General features: G+C 53.3%; 1 protein-coding gene, 1 long non-coding RNA gene and 1 other non-coding gene across 8 annotated transcripts, besides 2 other annotated features; 2 read left to right on the forward strand and 1 right to left on the reverse strand.

Annotated features, from left to right (window-relative positions):
* Window positions 1–38: 38 nt before the first annotated feature.
* Window positions 39–26,452, forward strand: IKBKE (inhibitor of nuclear factor kappa B kinase subunit epsilon). 6 transcript variants are annotated; one of them, NM_014002.4, is made up of 22 exons: window positions 39–261; window positions 719–808; window positions 2,759–2,877; window positions 3,894–4,034; window positions 4,428–4,557; window positions 5,744–5,925; window positions 6,241–6,401; window positions 7,312–7,422; window positions 7,723–7,902; window positions 8,506–8,696; window positions 9,433–9,497; window positions 9,585–9,676; window positions 10,010–10,096; window positions 14,560–14,635; window positions 14,757–14,869; window positions 17,477–17,553; window positions 20,382–20,421; window positions 21,211–21,312; window positions 22,586–22,682; window positions 22,829–22,941; window positions 23,483–23,554; window positions 25,675–26,452. In NM_014002.4, the coding sequence occupies exons 3-22, from the start codon at window positions 2,791–2,793 to the stop codon at window positions 25,706–25,708; spliced, it is 2,151 nt and encodes a 716-aa protein (NP_054721.1). In that variant the 5' UTR covers window positions 39–261; window positions 719–808; window positions 2,759–2,790; the 3' UTR covers window positions 25,709–26,452. The 6 variants fall into 6 exon arrangements, with proteins under 6 accessions (NP_054721.1, XP_005273413.1, NP_001180251.1 ...); XM_005273356.3 differs by having other exon boundaries at window positions 2,763–2,877; NM_001193322.2 differs by lacking the exon at window positions 22,829–22,941.
* Window positions 2,556–2,615: an enhancer, noted in NCBI's record as "active region_2400". NCBI's record gives its function as "activates an Ori minimal core promoter by ATAC-STARR-seq in GM12878 lymphoblastoid cells {active_cell/tissue: GM12878}" and the evidence as "EXISTENCE:reporter gene assay evidence [ECO:0000049][PMID:35858748]".
* MIR6769B (microRNA 6769b) lies at window positions 4,366–4,427 on the forward strand. The gene has a single exon (NR_106919.1). It is a non-coding gene; the product is annotated as a microRNA 6769b (primary transcript).
* On the reverse strand, window positions 20,679–27,291 carry IKBKE-AS1 (IKBKE antisense RNA 1). Its single transcript, NR_172918.1, has 2 exons — window positions 27,157–27,291; window positions 20,679–22,639 (listed from the first exon to the last, which is right to left on the reverse strand). It is a non-coding gene; the product is annotated as an IKBKE antisense RNA 1 (long non-coding RNA).
* Window positions 27,236–27,385: an enhancer, noted in NCBI's record as "active region_2401". NCBI's record gives its function as "activates an Ori minimal core promoter by ATAC-STARR-seq in GM12878 lymphoblastoid cells {active_cell/tissue: GM12878}" and the evidence as "EXISTENCE:reporter gene assay evidence [ECO:0000049][PMID:35858748]".

The following is a 27,624-nucleotide window of genomic DNA, read 5'->3' on the forward strand; positions in this document are numbered from 1 at the left end:
GAAATCAGGAAGTGCGAGAGAGCTGAGAGCCAGGACTCAGTGCTGAGCTTGGTGTCCCACCGCCACAAGGAGGCAGGGAAGAAACCCACTAGTCCCAGCTCCTGGGGTGGCACAGACATTGCAACTGGCCCTGCCTGTGGGTCCTAGGGGCCCTTGGCTACCAGGAGGCTAAGAACACTGCTCATGAATGACAGTGAGCCCTGAAAGCTCTGGGGGTGTCACCCAGTCCCACAAGCCTGCATCCCCTGCAGTGGAGATGGGGTGAGTGTGCAGCGTGCGGAGGGGGGTGGGGGTGGAATGAGGGGCCAGACAAGGGGCAGCTGCAGGGCAGCTCAGCCGGGTGCAGGGGTGTGGGCTTGTTGGCAGCGGTGCTCTCACATAGAGCGTTGTGTGTGGCATGGAGGTGAGCCACCACGGGCCAACCACAAGCCCTCCCTGGGCTCTGCTTACCAACACCCAAAGCCAGCGATCAGCACCCAGCGCCTGCCCTCACCTTTCCCGGGGTCTTTCTCCCTGGCCGGAGTCTCAGGAGTAGGAGACGCTGGGAAAGGCTCCCTGAACAGTTTGGGAATAGAGCTGGAAACCCCCAGCCCAGCCCTGTGGGGGAAGGTGACAAACAGGAAAGGGTTAAAGGGCTAGGGCCGGCGGCCTTTGATGGAGGCTGAGAAGCAACTGCACTGAGGGGCGCCTCTCATCCGCCCTCCTCTTTCCGGTGTAGCTCAGCTCCTGGACGTGCCACAGACAGAAAGCATAACATACACTCGCCAGGAAGAGCCTTTGCCTGACTCAGGGCAGCTCAGAGTGTGGGGTAAGTGCACTTGGCCACAGCAGAGCCCTGAGGAGGGAGGGGAGGGGAGAGGTGGGTGGGTGGTGTCTCACATGCTTCACTGTCCACTGCTCATTCATCCAACCACTGGCTGAGGGCCACTGAGCCCTTCTTTGCACCAGGTGCTTGGGGTGGTGGGGGGAGGATCTGCAGAGCGTGCAGAGTTAAGCCAGATGTGCCACAACCAGAGCTCCCGGGCACAGAATCCAGGGGCACACCGCTTGTCTGGGGGTCTGCGCTTTGCACCTCACTGCCTATTATCCCAGAGTCCTGAGCTGTTCCTTGCCCCAGTATCAGAGCCCTTGGCCTTGATTTCAGCCTGCTGTGCTCCAACCCCAGCCCCAGCCCCCAGACCTGCTGGCTGCCTCCAGCCTCAGCGGGGAAAACCAGACCCACTCATTCATGCTGAGCTACTGTGTTGTCTTCAGGAAGCCTCTCAGTACCTCAGTTGCTTCTGTGTAATGTCCGCTCCTACCTGATCTGAAACTAGGAGTTGACCACCGATCTCTTCAAGGGGCCTCTGGCTCAATGAAATGACATTATCAAGGATTTGCATTTTTAAAAAAGATTACACAGAGAAAAAGTTCAGAGCGAAGGAACATAGGATTCCAGGCATGGCAACCCTCAGTTTGAGAACCTGTAAGATGTTAGAACACGAAGATGCCTTTTCTAGTCTAGCGTTATTTAAAAGTATTTAAGTGGCCAGGCATGGTGGCTCACACCTGTAATCCCAGCAATTTTTTGGGGAAGCCCATGTGGCCGGATTGCCTGAGCTCAGGAGTTCAAGACCAGCCTGGGCAACATGGCAAAAACCCATCTCTACTAAAAATACAAAAGACAGCCAGGTGTGGTGGTGCACACCTATGGTCCTAAGCTCCTCAGGAGGCTGAGTTGGGAGGATTGCTTGAGCCCAGGGGGTGGAGGTTGCAGTGAGTCATGATTGTACCACTGCACCCCAGCCTGGATGACAGAGTGAGACCTTACGTCAAAATAAAAAAAAGAAAAAGGAAAAAGAAAGTATTTAAAGGATGGTGGCCCTTCTAATGCTTCTGTCCCCAGGTATCCCAAAAAGGCCAGCACTGGCCTTATTTTTCAAAGAGAAATTGAGTTTAACTTCTGAGGATACACTTTCTGGTACTAATTGCTTTAGGAGAACTAGGCTTTGGGGAAAAGATGAGGACAAAGATGGGAAACAGAGTTGTAGGGGGTTTCAGATTCTCCCAATGGCTGAATGATGAATTTTGCCTCCCCTATACCCTGCTCTCACACACACACCCACACCCTTCTCCCCAACGCCCTACACACATACACACACACACACTCTCACACACACACACACACACACACACTCTGAAGCAGCCCCATCTCTCTTGGAGCAGTACTGGCCCGGCTGTCAGCTCACAGCAGCAGGAAGTGGTGGGCCTGGCAGGCAGGCCAGCGGGGGCTGGGGGAGTGGCTCTGGACTCATGTTGCAATCCTGGAGATTTGTGGTGGTGTGGGAGATGCTCCCTGACCCTGGGCCCTTCCTCCTATACTGTTTCTGTTTCCTGGGACAATCTCAAGCCTGGATGCCAAAACCCCAGAATCTTCAGTGCTGGGGAGAGGTGGTAGAGACAAGAGGTTTGTCTCTGCAGAATGACCTGCCTCAGGAGGGGCTTCAAGGGAACGTGGGGAGCCAGGACAGGCAGCAGGTGGAACAGGTGCCGGCTGTGGGCTGAGGGCTCAGTGGGGGCCCTCTTGTTGTGCTGTGCGTCCTTTTGGGGAAGTTACTTAACCTTTCTGTGCTTCACACTTCCCCCGCTCCCTTGCTTGTGGAATGGCCACATGGAGCCCTTCTTAGGGTAGCCTTGGGGCACAGTTACAGGTCAGGCCACCAGCGGCCACCCTGTGCCAGGAATGGAATCCTGGGCCCCCAGCATGCTCTTTCTCTAGGCAGAAGGTGACCAGCCAGCTCAGGGCAGGAGATGCAGAGCACAGCCAATTACCTGTGGCACACAGATGACCTGCTGGGGCAGGGGGCCACTGCCAGTGTGTACAAGGCCCGCAACAAGGTAGGAAGCAACCCTGGCCAGGCCCTGTCCAGCCCAGCCTTGGCCCCCTCATGCCTCAGAAGCTGGCCCAGTCAGCCCCCAGTGGGCATTGAGGGTGGTGGGACAGGGACCTCTGGATGTTGTGTAGCACACTCATACTGTGGGTTTGAGCAGAGGCATAGGGAGCTGAAAACGGCTCCTTGAGAGGATGCCTCTGTCGGGCACGAGTTGGAGCAAGAGAACTGTGAAGTAACAAGGCAAACATCCGAGGAAGGTAACAGCAAATGGAATCTAGGAATAGCAGAGTGGGGAATTAGGCCTTGTTTGGATTTATCCTGCGAGAATGTATGAGATGATATCCACTCTGTCTTATTCAAGAGTGGTAGCCGGCCGGGCACGGTGGCTTATGCCTGTAATCCCAGCACTTTGGGAGGCCGAGGTGGGCAGATCACGAGGTCAGGAGATCGAGACCATCCTGGTCAAGATGGTGAAACCCTGTCTCTACTAAAAATACAAAAATTAGCTGGGCATGGTGGCGTGCACCTGTAATCCCAGCTACTCAGGAGGCTGAGGCAGAGAATCGCTTGAACCTGGGAGGCAGAGGTTGCAGTGAGCTGAGATCTTGACACTGCACTCCAGCCTGGGTGACAGAGCGAGGCTCCGTCTCAAAAAAAAAAAAAAAAAAAAAAAAGAATTGGAGCCATACAGACCAGGTTCCAATCCCTTCCCTGCTGCTAACCCCAGGGAGTGTTAGCTGCCCTGTGATGATTGTCAATAGCAATTGTAATAATGACAACAAGCCATCCCCTGCAGAAGATCAGAGTGTCAGGATCTTGTCACCTCCCAGTGCTGGACTCTCTACCCCTTGAGAGGGAAAGGCGGTGCGGATGGGAGCCCCCATCCAACCAGGCTAATCTCTGGGGTTGGGCTGGCCGGAGAGGCTGAATGGAGGCCCAGGAGAGGGTGGCTGCTCCCCTGTGGGAGTGGGACATGTGCTAATCCCATGCTGTCTCCCACTGCTCCCTCCCCAATGGCAGAAATCCGGAGAGCTGGTTGCTGTGAAGGTCTTCAACACTACCAGCTACCTGCGGCCCCGCGAGGTGCAGGTGAGGGAGTTTGAGGTCCTGCGGAAGCTGAACCACCAGAACATTGTCAAGCTCTTTGCGGTGGAGGAGACGGTAGGTCCGGTGCTTGGTCAGAGAATGGTCTTGTCCTTGACCCTTATGGTCTGGGGAGAATCAGGCCACATGATAACAGAGATTTGGTCCCATGCTCATCAGCAGGTCAGAGACAGCAGGCAAATTGCAGAAGGGAGCAAAGGGGGCAAGGGGGTGGGGGCGGTGCACTGGAAAGGAACGATGGACAGAATCAGTACCTAAGCAGAGGGCTTCCTGGAATAACTGACTTTGGATTCCAGTGTGCGGGATCAGTGTGAGGCCAAGGAGGGAAGGCCAGGCCAGAAGCTGGGACCTGGAGAATGGGGGCTCTGGGCTCCAGGCTGAGCCACTTCTTCCTGGTGGGTGGGGAGGAGAAGTGCCGTCCTCATGAGCCCCTCTCTGTCCCACCCATAGGGCGGAAGCCGGCAGAAGGTACTGGTGATGGAGTACTGCTCCAGTGGGAGCCTGCTGAGTGTGCTGGAGAGCCCTGAGAATGCCTTTGGGCTGCCTGAGGATGAGTTCCTGGTGGTGCTGCGCTGTGTGGGTGAGCCCCTCCCTGTCCCTGCCTCCACCCTCAGACCAGCGGCAGGCCTGGGACAGATGCTGACAGGACTCAGGTGTCTGACTCCTGCTAATCATTCCATTTAAAATTCCAACTTAAAAATTAAACCTAAAAAAGATTGTACACCAATGTTCACAGCAGCATTATTTACAATAGCCAAAAGGTGGAAACATCCTAACTGTGAAAACAAAATGTGGGAGGTACCTAAAATAGAATATTATTCAGTCTTAAAAGGAAAGAAATTCTGACACCTGCTACAACATGGATGGACCTTGATGACATTATGTTAAGTGAAAAAAGCCAGACACAGAAGGACAAATCCTGTATGATTCCACTCATACATTCATAGAAACAGAAAGTACCATGGTGGTTTCCAGTGGCTGGGGGCAGAGGAGAATGAGGAGTTGTTTAATAAGTATGGTTTCAAGTTTGAAGAATGAGGCCGGGTGCAGTGGCTCATGCCTGTAATCCCAGCACTTTGGGAGGCCCAAGTGGGCGGATCATTTGAGGTTGGGGGTTTGAGACCAGTCTGGCGAACACGGTGAAACCCTGTCTCTACTAAAAAAATACAAAAATTAGCTGGGTGTGGTGGTGCATGCCTGTAGTTCCAGCCACTTGGGAGGCTGAGGCATGAGAATCGATTGAACCTGGGAGGCAGAGATTGCAGTGAGCTGAGATTGCACCACTGTACTCCAGCCTATGTGTCAGAGTGAGACTCTGTCTCCAAAAAAAAAAAAAAAATTGGAGAATGAGAAAAGTTCTAAGATGGATGGTGTGATGGTGGCACAGCAGCGTGGGTGTGCTTAGTGCCAATGAAGTGTACACTTAAAATTGGTTAAAATGGGAAATTTCGTTATGCATATTTTACCACAATTGAACACCTAATCAAAAGAAGTAATACAAAGAGGGGTGCTGCCCTTGAGGACACAGAGCCACCACCCATCTTGGTTTCCTAGAGAATCCAGATGGTACCTCCATACCCTAGTGTCCTTGAGATGCCCCCTAAGCCCCATGCATGTCTCTGTCCTTCTGCCTGTCCCATGGCTCTGTCAGCCCATGGGAACTCCTGTCTCTCTGGATGCAAGGACAGCCTTCCCACCAAGATGAGCCTCAGACACTAGACTGTCCCCGACCAGAGCCAGCTAGTGGCCTCCCCGTCTGTCCCCAGTGGCCGGCATGAACCACCTGCGGGAGAACGGCATTGTGCATCGCGACATCAAGCCGGGGAACATCATGCGCCTCGTAGGGGAGGAGGGGCAGAGCATCTACAAGCTGACAGACTTCGGCGCTGCCCGGGAGCTGGATGATGATGAGAAGTTCGTCTCGGTCTATGGGACTGAGGAGTACCTGGTGGGTGAGCTGCTCGAGACCCGCTGCCCTATGCTGAGGGCTCCCCTTGCCTTGTGAGCCCCCCAGAGCCCCCATGAGGGGGTGTGGCCCACCTCCTGCTTCCACAGGAGTTATGTCTCTCCCCTGTACCCCAACCAGAAGAATGCATTCTGTTCTCTAAGATGGAAAAGGTGAGGCTGACACCCATTTTTAAGATGACAAAGAAGGATTTGAACAGTTCTGTTTTCACCTGCAGGCGGTGAAAGGGGGTCTGACAGGTCTCAGGCCCTTGCCAGCCCTCCGGCTCCATGGCCTCATTCTGGTTCTCTCCGGCAGCATCCCGACATGTATGAGCGGGCGGTGCTTCGAAAGCCCCAGCAAAAAGCGTTCGGGGTGACTGTGGATCTCTGGAGCATTGGAGTGACCTTGTACCATGCAGCCACTGGCAGCCTGCCCTTCATCCCCTTTGGTGGGCCACGGCGGAACAAGGAGATCATGTACGGTGGGCCACAGGGCAGGGAATGGGGCGGACTGGCAGTCCCCTGGCCCTTCCCCCACCGGTCCTTGCTGTGTCTTCTGGTCCCCTCACACTCCATGGCCCTCCTCTGGTCCACCCCCCAACCCAGGCTCTTTGTAGATCTTTTTTTGTTAATGGGATCAAACAAGCAGCTGAGCTCTGCCCAGGGCTGATGGGAGTCTGTGAATATGCTCTATGTTAGTTCGGTGCTTCACTCTAGCCCTCTGCTCCCTTACTGCTCTCCTCGTCTCAACCGAAGCTCAAAGAGTGCCTTGCCTAAGGTGGAAGAGCTCACCAGGGGCAAAGGTGGCAGCTTCCTGTTCCCAGGTCCAAGGTCTTTCCATGGTTTTGTGCCATCGGACAGGGAAGTAGCAAGTGGCTGGAGACAGTAGCGGCTCCCTCTGAGTGCACAGCCCAGAGCAGAGGAGATGTCAGCTGGCTTAGTGGGAAGGTTGCTGCACCCACCTCAGCCCCGGGGTCCAGCTGTGTGGAACCTATATCAGGCCCGCAAAAGGGGCAGAAGACCAGCATGGATGGGGGTTGTCAGGGAAGGCTGGACTCTGAAGGGAAAGAAAGAGGAGAGGATACTGGGGCCATGCATAGCATGGGCAAAGGTGTGGAGGAGGCTGGCCAGGCTGAGGGAAGTGTAGCGGGGGGAGAGGCAGTGGACAGGGCAAAGGTGTCTCTACCTGAAGCAAAGGGCTCCAGGAGGAGTGCTGAGGCAAGGCGCTCTCACAGCTGAGAGCCAGGTTTCTCACACTCCATCTGTCAGGCTACTTTGGGGTAGCTGGGTGACTTGAACCTGTGCTCCGAGCCCTTTGTGCTGAGTGTGTCGTTGCCCGGCAATGTGATAGCTGGGGATCCCGCTGACCTGGCCTTCCTCCCCGCAGGTACCGGATCACCACGGAGAAGCCGGCTGGGGCCATTGCAGGTGCCCAGAGGCGGGAGAACGGGCCCCTGGAGTGGAGCTACACCCTCCCCATCACCTGCCAGCTGTCACTGTGAGTGGGACCCTGCTGGGGGGTGATGCTGGAGTCTGAGCTGGGTGTCACTTCTCTCTGCTAAGTCAAGACTTCTGAGGCCTGTTCCAGCAGGTTCCGGGCATGCTGCAGGCTTGGGCACACCACTTTCCCATCTGGTTGCTGGAACGAGTTCTTCCAGCTCTTCCTCCCCAACCCACCCTGCCCCACCATCTTGGTCCTAGCTCTTCAGGATATTCTCTTAGAACGCTCCTATTGCCTGCTTAAGGAGGATAGGTCTGGGCCCCCACCCCTGACAGTCTCCATGTCCTGGGAGGGCAGGGGGCTGCAGAGCCAGCTGGTGCCCATCCTGGCCAACATCCTGGAGGTGGAGCAGGCCAAGTGCTGGGGCTTCGACCAGTTCTTTGCGGAGACCAGTGACATCCTGCAGCGAGTTGTCGTCCATGTCTTCTCCCTGTCCCAGGCAGTCCTGCACCACATCTATATCCATGCCCACAACACGTAAGTGGGGGCGAGGGAGGGAAGCGGTGAGAACCTTCTCTACCCAAGCAGCAGTGCATGTCCAAAGCAGCATCTCCCACAGTACGTTCTGAGGAGTGTGTACATAGGAACGCTTCCAGGTCCAAACGTAGTTGGGAAAAGACTAGTTCTACAAAGTTAAAGCTAAACAGGTTTTCTTGCATGTACTTCAGAGAGTCAGTACCTTTTCTAATGCTAATATGCATTATACATCTGAGAAGTGTGTGCGTGGTGTATGTTGGCTGTACATTTCGTAAAGGTACTGCTCATAGTACCCTTGATTCCTGGATAATTTTATAGAACTAGGTAAATTTTAATGGCAGTGTGACAGGAAGAGGTGCAGAGGCAAAGGCTGGGTATTAGGACTCCTGGGACCTGTTCCCACTCTGTCTCCATCACTATAAGATGTGAACTCTCCCCTTGGTCTCTCCACCCTTGATGACAGAGAAAACCACCCCCGTCCCTCCCTCTGCAAAACAGAGCCCTGTCTATGGGCAACGCTTAGCTGGGGCTTAGGTCACCCTAGCCCCCTGCCTTGCCTACTGACACCCCCTGCCCTCTGCTCCCCACCACGGCTGTGTCTAGGATAGCCATTTTCCAGGAGGCCGTGCACAAGCAGACCAGTGTGGCCCCCCGACACCAGGAGTACCTCTTTGAGGGTCACCTCTGTGTCCTCGAGCCCAGCGTCTCAGCACAGCACATCGCCCACACGACGGCAAGCAGCCCCCTGACCCTCTTCAGCACAGCCATCCCTAAGGGGCTGGCCTTCAGGGACCGTGAGTAGAGCCACCTGGGCTGGATCTTTCTCCTCCCCACATTTTCCTCTGAGACAGGAGTTTGCAATCCAGGCCATTGGTTACTTTTCTTTGTGGGTGTTTCTTTGGGGCCACAGGGAGCAGGAGGCAGATGTGGGTTCTAATTCTGCAGACGCCTCTGAGATGCCACATGACGTGGGCTGGTGGCTTGACCTCCCTGGGGCTTACTGGCATCCTCAGAGCTGTGGAAAGAGCTCCAGTGGAAACAGGGAGATCTGGATTTAATGCACTTTCCATAATCTCTGATTTGTGGGGAAGCCTCAGGCAGTTTGTGTTGGAAGAAGCCCAAGTCTGAGCTCCTGGAAAGAAGGGAAGGGGGTCGGGGTCCAGAGCTTGGGCCTCTCTCCAAACTCTAGCAAAAATGTCCTTTCTTCTCACTTGAACAGTGCAAGTTTTATCCTCTTTCTCTGAGGCTAGGAAGGGGTATTCACCTCAAAACCTGTGGACAAGAGGGTGATTTAGTCCATTTTCAGCTCTTGGACATGAGGAGGTAGTTCTCAAAAGTGGCCGCAAGGTGGCAGTGAGGGATCACAACTTTAAGTGTGGCTAAGGCTGGCAAGGTGGGAGGCTCAGGGTGAGTTGTGAAGCCTGAGGTGGGAGATTGGCAGTGAGGGGTGAGTGTGAGCTGGAAATAATGAAAGATAAGCCGACCCAGCACCATACAGGCAGGCCCCTCAGACAGGGTCTTTGTCTGCAGCTGCTCTGGACGTCCCCAAGTTCGTCCCCAAAGTGGACCTGCAGGCGGATTACAACACTGCCAAGGTGAGGGGCAACCCCCAGGTGGCAGGGAGGGGCATGACCCAAGGGTAGGAGGTGTGGGACCTGGCCCTGTGCATCTCTGTGTTTCAGGGCGTGTTGGGCGCCGGCTACCAGGCCCTGCGGCTGGCACGGGCCCTGCTGGATGGGCAGGAGCTAATGTTTCGGGGGCTGCACTGGGTCATGTGAGTAATCATGAGGGCTGGGCACAGAGGGGGAGGCGGGCAGGAGAGGGAGGCGGACAGGAGGGGGAGTGGGCAGGAAGGGGAGATGGGTGGGGGGTGGGCAGGAAGTGGAGGTGAGCAGGAGGAGGGGGTGGGCAGGAGAGGGAGGTGGGCAGAGAGGGGGAGGCGGGCTGGAGGGGGAGGCGGGCTGTAGGTGGAGGCAGGCCGGAGGGGGAGGCAGGCCAGAGGGGGAGGCCGGCAGGAGGTGGAGGCCAGTATCCTGGGATGCTGTCTGCATGCACGGTGCTGAGTCCCCCGATCAAGGCAGCTCTGACTCAGTCTCCCCTTGGACAGGGAGGTGCTCCAGGCCACATGCAGACGGACTCTGGAAGTGGCAAGGACATCCCTCCTCTACCTCAGCAGCAGCCTGGGAACTGAGAGGTGGGTGTTCGCCTCAGGCCAGCTGGGACCTCTCAGCCCTGCCTTGTCTGCTCCTCACCCTAGATACTTCCAACAATGCACCTCTTCTCCCCCAAGCCAGGGCTACTGCCTTCCCTGCCCTCCTAGAATAGAGGGCACCCGCACCCTATCCCTTATCCCCACCTCACCAAATAACTGCAATGGCTCCCCCAAAACCCAGTCCCTCACCTGCAGGGGAAGGGGCCCATGGGGGCACAGACTCTCCAGGTACCAAGGTGGCCTCCCTATCCCAAGAAGGGGCTTGTGTCCTGCCAAGTCCTTCTCTGAATGATTTAGAGTGCTCACCCTATGCCAAGTGCCAGCAGAACTCTAGGGGGAGGACACACACCCACGCACAGTTCCTGGATGTGACCAGGGATGGAGATCCAGGTGGTCTCGTTCTCCATGCCTCATCTCCTGCTTTCTCTGAGTCTTCAACTTATCCTTGCCTTCCTTGGGTTCCCTGCCCCAATCTTTGGAACCCCACTCCCTCCACTCCCTTGTCTTGGGCTAATAAGGGGGGATGGGTTGGAAAAAGAGAGAGACCGGGCAGGAGGAAGCCAAGTGGAAGGGTCTGGAGATGGGGAATGTGGGAAGACTTCATTGGCCAGAGCACGATTGAGAAGTAGGCACAGCACCCCAAATCCTGGAAGGCACGAGGCCATGGTACGGGTGAGGGTGGGAGCTCTGCAGCCTAGGGATGCCACTGGTGACAGGAGTCTTTGGGAACAGAAGATCAGAGACTGCCCATATGCCTGAAGGCCCCCTCCTCCCGCCACCCCCAGCCCTTGTCCTCAGGGAGCTCCAGGGAGTTTCCCAGCTGTGGGCTGACTCATGCAGCCCCGCGTGCCTCCTGCTTCGCAGCAGCAACTCAGTTGATGGGGCAGCTGGGAGGTGGAGGAGCAGGGAGGAGGAAGAGGAGCATCTCCAGATAACAGGGATGGAGTCTCCATCCAGACTGAGCCCCTCTCAAATGGTGACAGAGAGTAGGGTTCAGTCAGCAGAACTGCAAGTGAATCTCCTTTGAGCAGAGCTCTGTCCAGGGCACAGAGGGGGCTCCAGGGGTAGATGTGGCATCCTGTCATTCAGAGAGGCCCATGCTTCCTCCGGAGCAGCTAGCCCTTCCTGGACATGTGAGGGCTGATGGGATTGTTGGGTAAGAGGAGACCTGAGATGGGTAGAGGCAACCACGGAGGCCTTCCTGAAGGATGAGGCTTTTTTTTTTTTTTTTTTTTTTTTTTTTTTTGAGACGGAGCCTCGCTCTGTCGCCCAGGCTGGAGTGCAGTGGCGCGATCTCGGCTCACTGCAAGCTCCGCCTCCCGGGTTCACGCCATTCTCCTGCCTCAGCCTCCCAAGTAGCTGGGACTACAGGTGCCCGCCACTACGCCCGGCTAATTTTTTGTATTTTTAGTAGAGACGGGGTTTCACCGTTTTAGCCGGGATGGTCTCGATCTCCTGACCTCGTGATCTGCCTGCCTCAGCCTCCCAAAGTGCTGGGATTACAGGCGTGAGCCACCGCGCCCGGCCTAGGATGAGGCTTTTAAGGCCAGAAAGAAGAAGAATACCTCAGGCAGGAAGGTCTGCGCAGAGACAGAGAAGAAAAGGGCCCTGTTCGGGGGAAAGGAGGGGATGCTGGGGAGGCTTACTGAAGCCACAGTCATGATGGCAGATAGCCCAGAGCTAAGCCAGAGGCGGACAGAGGTGGAGGTGAGGAGGGGAGGAAAGAAGGCATAGAGGCCCTGAAGGAGTCCAGCTAGAGAGAGGTTGGACCCCAATAAAACAACCAGTAGAGAGCCATTGTAGATTCTTGACCTGGAAAGATGTGTTTGGGAAAGCTTTTTGGGTGTCTGTCTGCCCACTTGCCCTGGATGGACAGGCATGGTGGGGAATGGCACGCTGGCCTGGGTCTGGCGTCCTGGCATCCTGGTGTCCGCTGGCTGCTGTTCCCCTGTTCTGGCTCTGCAGCCTCCTCCAAGGTGGCCTCCGTGGTGTGTCTAGAGAGCTGGGGTCAGGCAAGTGCCTGCTTTGAAGCCTATTTCAGCCTCCCATCAAGGAGGAGGATGGTGAGCAAAAACAGTTGTGAGCAGGGAGCCAGAGGGCCAGGTGCAGCCTCTTCTCTTAGTCTGGGTGTGGCTCCAGCCCATTGTCACCTTCCCCTACCTGGGCCTCTGTGTCCTCATTTTCAAAATGAGAGGGTTGCATGATCTCTGCGGCCTCCCAGCTCCCACATGTTGCAAGCCCATTCTTGCCTGAACATCCCCAGACCTGTAGATTCTCCTAAGGGCTGAAGACACTAGCTCCACCCGCAGTGGAACCAGGTATTTTCATGAGCTGAATGTCACACTGGAGGAACCCAGCACCTCATGCCAAGTGGCCCACCTTTGCCCATCCTGGTGACCCACCTCTCCCCCAGTGTGCATATCCTGCCTCAGGTTCCCCAGGACAGGTCCTTTGGTAGAGCAACCTTGCCTTTGTCCCAAAGCTCCCTGGCCCTCCTGGGCAGCTGCTGCCATCCACAGGCACTGCTCAGGCAGCCAGGACGGGCTTTGGGAATCCTAGGGCTTCCCCCAGCCCCGCCACCAGGCAAGACATTCCAGGCAAGACTTCATCTCCAAGGTCCCTTTTGATCCCTATGAATATCTTATTGTGTCGCAGGAAGGAAATTTGTCTCCTCGTTTTATAGGTGAAGAGCCTGAGGCCTGGAGAGCTAAAGGACTAACCCAAGGTCATGCAGATAGCAAATGCCAGGACTAGGACTCGAACCCATGTCTCCTGACTCCCTGTGGAGATGTATTGGGTCCAGCCTCACCCTCTTCTGCCGTCAAATTTCCCATGCCTTAAAATCCATTTGTGCACTCAGTAACGCCTTCAGCATCCGTGCACTGACGGACTACCATGTGCCGAACACGTTGCTAGGCACGAGACGTACGAGGAGCAAAGCGACGGCACCCCTGTCTTCAAGGAGCCTGCAGTTCATTCCTGATTCTCTCTTTGCTCAGCTCCCCTCTCCTTCCCTGCTCCTCCATTCCCAAGCCAAAATACACAGCATACTTTTTAAAAATCATGATTGTTACTAAAATGTATATACTAATGGTAGAAAGTTAGAAAACAGAGATAAGCAAAAATAAGAAAATTAAAATCCCATAACCTACTATCTAGAGACAGGTTATCACACCTTAGGAGTACACATCCTTCTAGATATTTTTCTACTATGAGTAAACATTAACCAACATGAAATGATAGTGTATTTGCTGTTTTATAACCTGTTTTGGGGATCACATCTGCTGTCCCACCTTCTGGACTCATCTAGAGCTTCCCCTTGAAGTTGTTTGTCTTGTCCTTCTTTCTCAGCATTTCCTGTAAACTGGGAAGTTTTAAAAATTTTTTTTTAGTATTTTATTTTATTTCTTTTCTTTTTTTTCAAGGCAGGGTCTCACTGTGTTGGCCAGGCTGGTCTTGAACTCCTGACCTCAAGCAATTCTCCCACCTTGGCCTCCCAAAGTGCTGGTATTACCGGTGTGAGCCACCATGCCTGGCTTTTATTTTGTATTGTATTGTATTGTATTGTATTGTATTGTATTGTATTGTATTGTATTGTATTGTATTGTATTATTATTTTTGTAGAGACAGGGTCTCACTGTGTTTCCCAGGCTGATCTCAAACTCCTGGTATCAAGCAATCCTCCCACTTCTGCCTCCCAAAGTGCTGGGATTACAGGCATGAACCACTGTGCCAGGCCTAAACTGGGAGTGCACAAGGCTAGATGGATTCCAGTTGAACATTTTTTGCTAGAATACATTATTGATGATGCCGGGTATTGTATGTTGACATACCACTGGCTGGTGATGGCCTGATTCCTCTGCTGTACCGTTACATTGTCCCTGTAGAAGAAAGAAGCAGAGTGGTGTGACCTTGTCACCGTGCAAATGCCCACCCCATTATCAACCATCATTGCTTGTAAGGCTATGCCCCAGAGAACGATTTCACTGGGCAGCAAGATGATAATGTTCTAACTTCTGATATATCATTGCCTAGTAGTCTACAAAATATAGCTTTTCCCTCATCAGAAAGCTATTGGTTATCAAGAAATACAGTTTCTACTGGACAGGAACTTAATTCTTTCCCTTTAGTTACAAAGTTTCCTGGTAAGGAGATCATTAATAGCAGCCTTGCATCATGGGCCCGTGAATTTTCATAGACTCAAGGTGTTACAATCTGTCTCAACCTTTATTATTTGCAATACTCAACAATGTCACAACTTGGGTAAGCAGGGCCCTCGTCAGGATGGCGCCTCTGTCCCAAACACAAAACTTCCCAGAGACCCGGAGAGCCACCAAGGCTGTCCCACAGATGCTATGCCCAGCATGTGCCAACAGAGCTCTCTGCCTCCCACCTTGGCTGCTCCTAAGCCCCCAAATGTGGCCTTTCTCTTTGCTTCCCTCAAGGTTCAGCAGCGTGGCTGGAACGCCTGAGATCCAGGAACTGAAGGCGGCTGCAGAACTGAGGTCCAGGCTGCGGACTGTGAGTGAGGCTGGAGGGCAAGGGCTTAGCAGGATCAGAGCTGGGGGCCCGTGTTCCAGCCAGCCTGCCCACCAGTGCCCAGGCTGAAGACCCCACGGGGGTCTGCCTTTGTGCCCCACAGCTAGCGGAGGTCCTCTCCAGATGCTCCCAAAATATCACGGAGACCCAGGAGAGCCTGAGCAGCCTGAACCGGGAGCTGGTGAAGAGCCGGGATCAGGTACATGAGGACAGAAGGTCTGTGGGATTTTCCTTCTTTGTGGGGTGGGAGTGGGGGAGTGGGCAGCTCCAAAGGTCCAGTAACCTTTAGCCTTTTAGACGTCAGCTTGCATTCCCCTTTCTCTTGGCAAGGGTGCTAGGGCATGGGGGAGTAGAGGGAGATCCAGCAATAAACAAGAACCCCCCGACTGCCCCAGACACCAGCCAGGAGGAGAAAAGGATCTGGGGTCCTGCACCCATCTTGGAGTTTGAGGAATGCCTCGGGAATCTTAGCAGGTGCTATAATTCTGAATAAAAGAAGACTTTAGTTCCCTTTCTCTGTGTCAGGCCCTTGGGTAGGTCCTCTCACGTACAGCATCTCGTTGAATCCTGAAAACAATAATGATGCTATGATAATGCCCTTTTTATAGAACCTCAGTCAGTGAGGTTAACTTACCCTGAGTCACAGCCAGTAAATGACAAATGACAGAGGTGGCTTCAGGTCGGGTCTGTCCACCTCCAAAGCCTATGTTCTTGGCCTATGCCAGGCAGGGGTTTACAACCTTTAAGGCACCACTCTCCCTTTTAACAGACATAAAAATACCCCCCTCCCCCAGGCCCCAGCTGACTGTGGGGAGCCGCTGCCTACCTTGCCGCTTCTGACCAGGGGATGGGTGGTACCCAGCGCGGACCTCCTCCCCATTCTCTGCTGGTGCCTACTGTAATCTGGGCCTATCCCCATCCATCATCCCATGGCCTCAATTCTAAATTCAAACAGCTCTGAACACCACAGGAGTTTTTCTTAACTGTTTTGGCCATAAAACCTGACCTAAATCGAATGAGGCTCTTTATAGAATTTATCCCACTTACGGTGAATGTTCTTGTGGTTCTTTGGAGATGTGAATGTGTTTGATTAGGAGTTGATGCCCTGCTCGGGCCATTCCACAATACACTGTGTGGGTACCAAATTGCCTTTCTGATATCAGAAGACGATTCTCAATTCAGAGCACATTTGGCCCCGTCCTTTTGGATGAAGGCTGCAGATCTGAGGCCCCGTCCTTTTGGATGAAGGCTGCAGATCTGAGGCCCTGTCCTTTTGGATGAAGGCTGCAGATCTGAGGCCCTGTCCTTTTGGATGAAGGCTGAGGATCGAGGTCCTGTCCTTTTGGATGAAGGCTGCGGATCCCAGGCCCTGTCTTTTGGATGAAGGCTGTGGATCGAGGCCCCATCCTTTTGGATGAAGGCTGAGGATCAAGGCCCCATCCTTTTGGATGAAGGCTGCAGATCTGAGGCCCTGTCCTTTTGGATGAAGGCTGAGGATCCCAGGCCCTGTCTTTTGGATGAAGGCTGAGGATCGAGGCCCCATCCTTTTGGATGAAGGCTGCAGATCCCAGGCTCTGTCTTTTGGATGAAGGCTGTGGATCTGAGCCCTGTCCTTTTGGATGAAGGCTGAGGATCGAGGTCCCATCCTTTTGGATGAAGGCTGCGGATCCCAGGCCCTGTCTTTTGGATGAAGGCTGTGGATCCCAGGCCCTGTCTTTTGGATGAAGGCTGTGGATCGAGGCCCCGTCCTTTTGGATGAAGGCTGAGGATCAAGGCCTCATCCTTTTGGATGAAGGCTGCAGATCTGAGGCCCTGTCCTTTTGGATGAAGGCTGAGGATCAAGGCCCCATCCATTTGGATGAAGGCTGCAGATCTGAGCCCTGTCCTTTTGGATGAAGGCTGTGGATCCCAGGCCTTGTCTTTTGGATGAAGGCTGTGGATCTGAGGCCTGTCCCAGCCACTTCATCTTCCACCCTCATGTTCCTGGCGGGGCAGGCTCCTTCGGCTGGCAGAGCCCTGGAACAAGCCTGTGCTCTGTTCAGAGTCAAGCTCCAGAAATAGCAGAGATGGGGTCACTTGGAGGTGCTGCAGGGAGGAAGTGGAGCTACATAGGCCTGTGGGTGAGGAAGAACTTTTCCCAGACACTCCCGACTTCTCAAACAAAGTGTTTGTTTCCAGCCTGAAAAGGGGAAGGAAGAAATAATAATGACCTTCAACCCCAGAACAAGAAAGTCCTCGGGAGATCATCTCCCCAGTTCCTCCGCCTCCGGGCAGGACCGAGGCCTGTTGATTCATTCTTGTTTTCAATAAGGATTATTGATTCATTATTTATGTTAAGTTTCTGCTGTGTGCCACACATTGGGTAAACCAAGAAGCTATATTCTTCTGCTTTTTCCAGTTGACCAGAGAGAGATTTTAGCTCCCCTCTATCCCCAGCTGTCACTGCCAGACACGCTCTTAGGTTTCAGGGGCCTAGGCTCCTTCCCAGGGCCTAGTCTCACAACTTCTCAGGTAGTAAAGGCCACGTTCCTGTTGCCCGTCCTGCTTGGCTTCCTGTCTCTCTTATCTCCTACTTAACTCATGCTGCGAGTGCATGTGTGTGAGAGAGGAAGAATAAGCCATGAGAACGAGAGACGGCTGGCTGACTGTACGGGGTCTCAAATAAGCCTAGAGACGGGACAGCCACCTCCACTCCCAGACTGATCCCCCAAAACTGTGGCTGTGAGGCTCCTCCCCTATTCCACTGCCACCCTTCCCCTCCCTCCCTCTTTCCTCTGTGCTATTAGATTCTTCCAACACCTGGTCCCTGTCTCCTGCCCACAGCATCCAGCAGATTCAGTGCTGTTTGGACAAGATGAACTTCATCTACAAACAGTTCAAGAAGTCTAGGATGAGGCCAGGTGAGCCCGGGGAGGGCAGATGCCCCTTCTCTCTCCTCTGTCTCCCTTCTTTCGCCTTTCTTCCTTTTCACTGGTGCTACCAGTGGCCACTAACCTCCAGCTAAGTGGCCGCTAACCTCCAGCTGGTGGTTCTTGGAGGCCCACTAAGCGGATGGTTCTGTGCAGCTGCTCTAGGGGCAAGGCCCCTGTCTGCAAGCTGCCTGCAGGCCAGTGGGGGACATGAAACCTTTACATGCCTGCCTGTTGCCACATGAGAGACTTGGATCACATGGTTGGGGGATCCAGTGGGCCGGGACCTGGGTGCTGTAGGAGAGGTGGTCCTGGAAAGAGATCTCGCACCTTGGCAGGGCACTTTAAAGTATAGAATGTCACTATCCGTTGTGTCCTTGGGACACTGAGACAGTCAGGTTTTCCAGAAAAGGGGGGGTCAGGAGAAGTCCCATTTTGAGTCACTGGGTCAGGCATTTTGGCTGCTTGATCCATTAATCCTCACAAGGATGCTGTGGCAGGGGCAGCCCATTTACAGGCTCGGGGGTGGGAAGCTGCTTGTCCAAAGTGACTGCCATTGTGGGGTAGTGCAAGGGTGGGACCCAGGGAGGGCTGGTGAGGGGGTTGGAGGGAGCCTGCGGAGGCTCCAGTTGACTCCTCAGGTTGGGGAACTAACACACCAGGAACCAAACCTCCCCCTCCTCTCCCAGGCCCCAAGCATTTCCTAATCTGTAGGCTGAAGGTCTTGGGCTTTATTGCCAAATTCTCTTCTCTCCTTGGGATTATCTAAAAACCACTGTCCAATAGAAATATAATGCCAGACACGTATGTAATTCTAAGTCTTCTAGTAGCCAATTTTTAAAAAGTAGAAAGAAACAAGTGAAATTAATTTTAATGTGTTATTCAACCCAATATATCCAGTGTCATTTTAGCGTGTAATCAATATAAACAAAATCACTAAGGAAATACCTTATATTCTTTTTGTGTTATCTTCAAAATCCCACGTGTATATATACACATAAATATATAACTTATTTCCTTAGCAATTCTGTTTATATTGATTACATGCTAATATATATATTTGAGACAGGGCCTTTGTCACCCAGGCAGGAGTACAATGGCATGATCACTGCTCACTGTCGCCTCAACCTCCTGGGCTCAAGCCATCCTCCCATCTCAGGCTCCTGACTAGCTGGGACTACAGGATGCTTTCCCATCACTTCATTGTTTTATATTTCACATATATATATATAATTCATATATATATTATTCACATATATATATTATTCATATATATATTATTCACATATATATAACATTTATAACACATCTCTATTGGGAAACTAAATTTTATATATGTGTGTATATGTGTGTGTGTGTGTGTGTGTGTGTATATATATATATATATATATATATATATATACACACACACACATACATGGAGCTGTGTGCAGTGGCTCATGTCTGTAATCTCAGCACTTTGGAAAACTGAAGCGGGAGGATCACTTGGGCCCAGGAGTTCAAGACCAGCCTGGGCAACATAGCAAGACCCCGTCTCTACAAAAAATAAACAAAACTAGCTGGACGTGGGCATGCGCCTGTAGTCCTAACTACTTGGGAGGCTGAGGTGGGAGGATCACCTGAGCCTGGGAGCTGGGAGTTCGAGACTGCAGTGAGCTAAGATCACACCACTGCAGCACTCCAGCCAGGGCAAGAGCGAGACCCTGTCTCAAACAACAACAATAACAAAACCTCTAGGCATCATTACCCTCCCCATTTTATAGATGAGAAAACCAAGACACAGAAAGGTTAAGTAGCCCAAGTAATCTAGGTCCAGCTGCTTTTAACTATCCCATTTTACAGCCTCAAAGGAGTTTTACTTCTATTGGTCTTTAAGAGTCCTTTAATAAAATTAAAAATGAACCCCTAACTGTTAAAACCCAGCGTGTTGAAAGATACCATTTTTTAAAATGCCCGGTGGTCTTCAGGCTCTCTCGCATGAGCCTCACGGGACTCCCAAGTGGCACCTGTGATGGATAAGGAGACAGGCTCAGCGAAGTGAAATCACTCGCCTAGTGCCGCCTGCCAACAGGAGGAAGGGCTGAGGTTTGTCCCAGGTCTCTCGGACTGCACACATGCTCTTAGCTGGCCGAGTGCAGGGCCCAGGAGGGGGACTCTGCTATGAGAGGAGTGGGATGGGGAGGCCCTCGAAGTGAACCGCCATCATCATTTCATCTTGGGGCTGCCGCCACCCTGGAGGCCCATTCCTGCGAAGACCAGGAGGGGGCAGCATCTCCCTAGTGCATGAGCCTTAGGGCCCTTCAGGAGGCAGCCAAGGCCATGAAAGCTTCAGCCTTTCTGGCAAAAGTGGCTGGGCAGAGCGGGGAGGTAGAAGGTGGTGGCCTGATTTCTCCAGCTCGTTGCAGGTAGCGCCCATGAACATTCAGGGATGGGACCACCCAGCTGCAGGCATCAGTCACTCTGGGAGGGTGCTGGATAAGGGGCTATGGTTGACCGAGCCTCCTTCTAAGCCCACTTCATCCACCAACTCCCACCTGAAGCATCCCCCACGTCCCCACCCCGGCCCTGCACTGCAGGCTGCCTTCCCCTGGGGCCCTCACACAATTTCCCCATGGCTTCTTGAGGCCCTGGCTTTGTCCTAATCAGCTATTCCGGTGCTAGCTTCACTCCTCTGCCCCTCCTGCTCCGCTGGGCGGTGAGTTCCCGTGAAGCAGCACAGGCTGGGCCGTCTTCATCTTTTAACTGTCTCTCGACCTTTGCTGCACACTGTTTCGTTGACTGATTGAATAGGTGACATCTGTTCTGTCTGTTTCCTCCAGGGCTTGGCTACAACGAGGAGCAGATTCACAAGCTGGATAAGTGAGTGGCCTGTCCTCCGGCAGGTGGGTGGGCAGGAGGGTGGGTGTCCTCAGGGCAGAGCGATTCTCAACGCCAGAGGAGAGGCAGTGAAGGGCCCTGTCCCGGACTGCAGCTGAGCAGAGTTGGGGATAACAGGTTATCTGGGGCCAGGGGAGGGAGTATGCATAGCTTAGTTGGAGGGAGACTTCTCAGATGCAATCTTGAAGTAACTGGATTTACTTCTGGTATGGACAAGACTGTTTGCAGGCTTTTTTTTTCTCTAGTTGTCCTCACTGATGCACCACTTACCACTTCCTGCTTCTGCCCTCTGCCTGAACCTTCCCTGCCTCCCCCCGCTCCTCTGTCTCCCATGTTTCCCGGACACACTCACGTCCAGGAGGCCCTCCCTGATTTAATGGTTATCTGGGAACTCACTCCCCCAGTTCTACAAGCACCCCGACCCCTTTTTGTCTCACACACACACGCACTCACACACCTTCTTTCCACGGCTGCCTCACTTTCCCTTCCCTTTCCTGAGGACTAAGCTTGAGCACATGTGTGTTCCCTGAGGACCCCCTGTGTGTCTCCCACGTCTCCCTGTTGATGTGGGCTTTGCTGGCCACTGCAACCTTCACAATCCAAGTGTGTGACCGTCCTTCCTCCTTTCCCAGAGACATAGCCCTGCTGTGGACGCAGGGCTTGGGCACTTACGACAAGGTGGTGACGGAGACTGACGGAGACTGAGGGATGGTGGGCTTGTGCATAGTGGTTCTGGCAGCTCATCTGCACCTTGGTTCTCTGTCGTTCTAGGGTGAATTTCAGTCATTTAGCCAAAAGACTCCTGCAGGTGTTCCAGGAGGAGTGCGTGCAGAAGTATCAAGCGTCCTTAGTCACACACGGCAAGAGGATGAGGTAACAGCCCCTCCTGAGCTCCTGGAGCCCAGGGCCTGGCCTGGCCCTTCTAGGCTTCAGAGGACCCAGGGCTTTGTGGAGCCCTGAGGCAGAGGGAGGAGTGAGTGAAGGGGTGTGAGCAGAGGAGTGGTTTTCTGTCCCTGGGTGGACCAGGCAGTTGGCTGGGAGATTTCTGTAGCTCAGCTTATTTACTCCTACAACACCTGCCCTATACAGTAGATATCATCACCCTATTTCCTAGGTGAGGAAACTGAGGCTCTGAGAACAGGTCTCCTCTGCACATCACATGGCTAGTAAGTGGCAGACCCAAGACTCGTATGTGGCTCTGCCTGCCTCTACAATCTAGATTCTTCAGGGCTTTTGAGGGGTAAAATCAAATCAAATCTGGATTCTTTCTACCGTTCCACCTGGTTATATTGAGAAGTCTCCTTTAGGAGAACACTAGGTGCCCCTGGGATAAGGACAGTGGCAGTGGCCCTTAAGTAGAACCTTCTGTCACACTGTCCCCTTCAGGAGTTTTGGGTTCCGCCTTCTCAGATCAGGCCCACTCTCCATCCCCTGCCTGTGTGAACACTGGCCCCTCCTGAGAAGAGAGGACAATTTCCCACGTGCTACCACATTCTGAGGCCTGTAGGACCTCACCTTGTTATGGGGCTGAGACCTTGGCACTCACCCGTCCTCATATCAGAATACCAATGCCTGCTTCTTCTACTCCAACCCACCACACATTCTGGTGTAATTGCTCTGGAGCAGGGCTTGGATGTCAGTGTAGTACAGCTTCTCCAGGTGATTCTAATGTGTGGCGAGGGCTGACCTCCAACCCCTGATTTAACAGCTCTGGGCCTTGGGGAAAATGTTCCTGTTCCTTCACTCCACTTAGAGATAGAAGAGAATTCACACTGGAAATGAGAGCGTGGGCAGTTCCCCACACTGAGAGCCCTGGTGTGGGCTATCCTCTGCCTCTCTGCAGCCTGACTGGTGCCACGCTCACCATAGGTGGCATGCGTCACCCAGCCCCAGCCACATGCATGTTGTTGGTGCTCCACACTACGGCTCTGAAGGGGGCCTCCCAGCCTCAGCCAGCTGTGTGCTTCTGCATTATTGCAGTGGGGCGGGCAAGCGTGGAGGGCACAGCTGGCAGGGCAGAGGCAGCGAGGGAGGCAAATACCCGGGACCCACCTGTGTCCATGTGTGGATCCGATGGCAGCTAGGCGAGCCCTGGGGAATGGGCTGAGTCCTGCTCTAATTCTAAGTCTCTGTGTGTTCTCTTGAGGGTGGTGCACGAGACCAGGAACCACCTGCGCCTGGTTGGCTGTTCTGTGGCTGCCTGTAACACAGAAGCCCAGGGGGTCCAGGAGAGTCTCAGCAAGGTGGGCATGGCAGAAGGATTCTAGGTGCTCTGGGGATGCAGGCTGGGGCGCTTGTTACCCATGTCTTCCCCTCCTCCAGCACTCCCCCTACCCAGCCACACATAAGCTGGCTACTAATTGCTGACCAAAGTATGGCTTCCCTGCAGCTCCTGGAAGAGCTATCTCACCAGCTCCTTCAGGACCGAGCAAAGGGGGCTCAGGCCTCGCCGCCTCCCATAGCTCCTTACCCCAGCCCTACACGAAAGGACCTGCTTCTCCAGTAAGTGCTGGGGAGAAAGCGGTTGTGTATCTGTGTGGAAGGGGGTTGCAGGGAGCAGAGTATGCTGAGGTTAGAGCCTGAGGGGTTTGGCGTCATGCCAGGCCTAGGAGGCAAGATTAAAGAGACTAGCTGGGTGCGGTGGCTCACACCTGTAATCCCAGCACTTTGAGAGGCCAAGGTGAGCGGATCAACTTGAGGCCAGAAGTTGGAGACCAACCTGCCAAACATGGTGAAACCCCATCTCTGGTAAAAATACAAAATTTAGCCGGGTGTGGTGGCAGGCACCTGTAATCTCAGCTACTTGGGAGGCTGAGGCATAAGAATTGCTTGAATCCAGGAGGCAGAGGTTGCAGTGAGCCAAGATTATGCCACTGCACTCCAGCCTGGGCAAAGGAGCAAGACTCCGTCTCAAATAAGCAAACAAAAAAGAATAAAGAGGCTTCTTTGGTGGGGCTGCAGAGGAGGGTGGGCCTCCCAGGAAAAGGGTCTGGGCAGGGCAACTTCCAGCCTCAGCCGCCTCTCCTGCCTCTGCCTTGGGCAGCATGCAAGAGCTCTGCGAGGGGATGAAGCTGCTGGCATCTGACCTCCTGGACAACAACCGCATCATCGAACGGTAAGGAGCTTTCACCTTGTGTAGGTCAGGGCCGGGTCTTCAAGCTACCCTTGCCTGGGGGTGGTGAAGAGTCCCCAAGCCTGCCCATGCAGGTTTGATGACACGTGTCCATTTTCGAAGAAGCCCTGTTGAAGCTTAGGCATTTTCCACAAATGAGTTGACATCCTCAGGAGGTGTAGGGTTCACTTACAGCCTTTAAAATGTGAGCCTCCATGCTGTCAGGGAGATGGGGGCCTGGAGGCATGGGGTTTGTGCCTGTGTCCAGCTCTGCACTCCATATGTACTCTGTGCTCAAGCTGCCCCAGATGCCTCCTTGAATCACAGCCATCCTCAGGATAGGTGCTGTTTTCATCCCCATGTGCTACCCCAGGAAGCCACAGCGCAGACACCTTGGATACGATGCCCAAGGCCGGTGTTTCTCTGGCCTTGTGGGGCTCCCGTCCCTCCTGCCAATGCTCATGGGCCAGCCCGGGGCTGCAGGATCATCTCCTGATTTGACTCCCCTCCTTGGGGTGCTGAGGGGTCATGAGAGGTTGGTGTGGGAACGCAACAGGGCTCCGACTCTGAGATTGAGATTTTGCATACCAGTAAAAGTTCTTTCTTTTTTTTTTTTTTTTTTTTTTTTTTTTTGAGACGGAGTCTCACTCTGTCACCCAGGCTGGAGTGCAGTGGTACTGTGTCGGCTCACTGCAACCTCCATCTCCTGGGTTCAAGCAATTCTCCTGCCTCAGCCTCCTGAGTAGCCAGGATTACAGGTGTCCACCACCACACGCAGTTAATTTTTATATTTTTAGTAGAGACAGGGTTTCACCATCTTGGCCAGGCTGGTCTCAAACTCCTGGTCTCAGATGATCTGCCTGCCTTGGCCTCCCAAAGTGCTGGGATTACAGACATGAACCACTGCGCCCGGCTACGTACCAGTATAGTTCTAAAAGAAAACTCGAGAACAACAGAGTTACCAGCTGCTCACATAACCAAGTAAGCACATTTGAAGTAAAAAAAAAAAAAAAAAAAAGCCCTGTCATCTAGTAACCCTACTTTATAAAACACATTTTACCACCAAAGAGAGATAACCTCAGGATAAAGGATGGTCCTTGCTTGCCCTGAAGGCCAGCGGCCCTGTTTATATACATGTACACACGTGCACGCATCTCCCACTCCTGCCTGTCATCCTCGTGTCTGTCATTTTCCTGTCTGAGAACCAATGGCAGGGTAGAGTCAGCAGAGGTTCCTACAGGATTTCAATCCTGACCCTGCTTTTTACCAACTGCGTGACCCTGGGAGGTGTGTTCAGCTTTGAGCTTCAGTTCCCTCCCCTGTGAAACAGGAGTAATAATTTCTACCTCATGGTGTTGACATAGGGATTTAAAAAAATGAGATATGCAAGGTGCTTGCGCATAGGGGGGTGTGGAGGGAAGGGCTCACTAAATGTTACTTCTTCCCCAGAGGCCACTCCAGTCTCACACTAGAATTGGGGCCAGGAGGTAGGGAAACCAGGAGCAGAGCTTGTGGTTTGTCCCCAGAGTTTCAGAGGGTCCTTGGGTAAGGGAGGAATCTCCTCCCTGTCCTGTTCCAGCAAGAGAACTCATCCTCTTAAACACCCACAAAGAGGACATTTGACAGCTTCTTGGAAGGATTTTCCAAAACAGCCCTCTTGGTCAGGAAGTTCTAATTTTAGTGCCAACAAAAATTGCTCTTGCTGTGATATGTCATCTATTTGCAGATAGCTCAAAACTTTATTTTAGTGAATTTTCACTTCCTTATTCAGAGCTGTAGCCAAAGAGCCAAATGAATCCATTTAAACTCCTTTCCCCTCCTAAACCTTGGCTACACACTGGAATCACCAGGGGAGCTTTTAAACGTACAAATGCCTGGGTCTTGCCCCAGAGACTCTGGGTACAGCTTGTGGTTAGGATTTGCATGAGCTTTCCAAGTGATTCCAACATATAGTCAGAGGCGAGAGCCAGTGGGTTCTTGTCGGGGAGTGAGGGTGCTACAAGGGGAGAGCTGAGGACTTGAATGGCTCAGTGTTCTTGAAAGCTAATTGTGCTGGGCCCTGGAGTGTGGTCTGCAGGCCTCTCCAACAGGTGGGCACTGCTAGCCTGTACCTTTTCTTGTAGGCTAAATAGAGTCCCAGCACCTCCTGATGTCTGAGCTCCATGGGGCACATGAGGCATCCTGAAGCATTAGAATGATTCCAACACTGCTCTTCTGCACCATGAGACCAACCCAGGGCAAGATCCCATCCCATCACATCAGCCTACCTCCCTCCTGGCTGCTGGCCAGGATGTCGCCAGCATTACCTTCCACTGCCTTTCTCCCTGGGAAGCAGCACAGCTGAGACTGGGCACCAGGCCACCTCTGTTGGGACCCACAGGAAAGAGTGTGGCAGCAACTGCCTGGCTGACCTTTCTATCTTCTCTAGGCTCAGGTACTGCTCCTCCATGCCCATGGCTGGGCCGTGGGGAGAAGAAGCTCTCATACGCCTTCCCACTCCCTCTGGTTTATAGGACTTCACTCCCTAGCCAACAGGAGAGGAGGCCTCCTGGGGTTTCCCCAGGGCAGTAGGTCAAACGACCTCATCACAGTCTTCCTTCCTCTTCAAGCGTTTCATGTTGAACACAGCTCTCTCCGCTCCCTTGTGATTTCTGAGGGTCACCACTGCCAGCCTCAGGCAACATAGAGAGCCTCCTGTTCTTTCTATGCTTGGTCTGACTGAGCCTAAAGTTGAGAAAATGGGTGGCCAAGGCCAGTGCCAGTGTCTTGGGGCCCCTTTGGCTCTCCCTCACTCTCTGAGGCTCCAGCTGGTCCTGGGACATGCAGCCAGGACTGTGAGTCTGGGCAGGTCCAAGGCCTGCACCTTCAAGAAGTGGAATAAATGTGGCCTTTGCTTCTGTTTCTGGTGGCTCTCCCTGGGCTGTGTCTGCAAGGCAGGGCTCTCAGCTGGGTGTGCTTGGCAACCAAGTGGGGTCTGGGCGGGGATCTGTGAGAAGTGCTGGGAAATGGGGGTGGGAATTGGTCATGTCCTGATTTCTGCCTTTCCCCTAAATGGGCCCTAATTTCAAGGAAGAACCCAAGGGGTGCCTTCCCATTCCTTCCATTCTCTTGCCCCCGCATCATTTGGAAAGCTGTGTGAGGGGCCTGGAACTTAGGGAGAAAGGTATTCTTCTTTTTTTTTTTCCTTCAAACCCACCATCTAAGTGGCTACTGCTTTTTTCCCATCTCCACAGCTATTCAAAACCTAGGCTATGTCCTAAATAGTGGGTTTGAATAGTATTATGGGTTATTTTAAGCATTCCTTCATTTTGTCTAGAATCTAGAGTGGTGCCTGGGCAAGGCATTCTGACTTTTGCAAACTGCTTGCAAATTTACCTCCAGCCTTCCCATAAACCAGAGCTGGACTACCCACCTACCTGGGTGGGTGAAGGAAGGGGAAGGGGAAATGCAGTAAGGTAGCCCCAGTAGGAGAGAGAGACGAGTGGGAAGCCCCACTGTGTGCTTCGAAGCGTGAAGACAGCATTATGCTTGACTGGAAATAACCCCAGAGATCCTTCCTGTCCATCTTCATGGGAGCCCCCACATCCTGAGGCCACTCTACTCACCTGGTAGGGCCAGAAATGGGGAAGGGTGAGTCCTGGAGGCTTCTGTCCTCTGTGGTGCTTCTCTGTGCAAAGACCAGCACTCTAAAGGCCTGGGGGAAGGTGGCTGGAGGTTGTTTCCTTGCATCAGGTCCAAGTGGCTTTGTGTTTGTTATTTGGGCCTCAAGCCCGTGGAGTCACTTAAGCCCAGGGGTTCAAGTCCTGGGGCCTCAGAGACCAGCTGCCGCCTTGATGTTCCTGGGTACTAGACCACCTCTCGTCCACTCTGCTGGCCTGAATTTCTGGCCAACACTTCCAGCCCATGAGTGGCCCTTCAGGGAAGTCCCACAATGGGTTTTCCCTGGCAGCAACAGCTTGCAAAACCCCATGTGCTTGGTGGAGCTCAGTGAAGGAGCCAGGGGATCCCTGAATGCCAAATACAGATTTTTGGGAGATGATATGATCCAGGCTGTATGATCTCATGAGCAAAGC

This window comes from Homo sapiens, chromosome 1, assembly GCF_000001405.40.
Source record: "Homo sapiens chromosome 1, GRCh38.p14 Primary Assembly".
Lineage (NCBI taxonomy): Eukaryota > Metazoa > Chordata > Mammalia > Primates > Hominidae > Homo > Homo sapiens.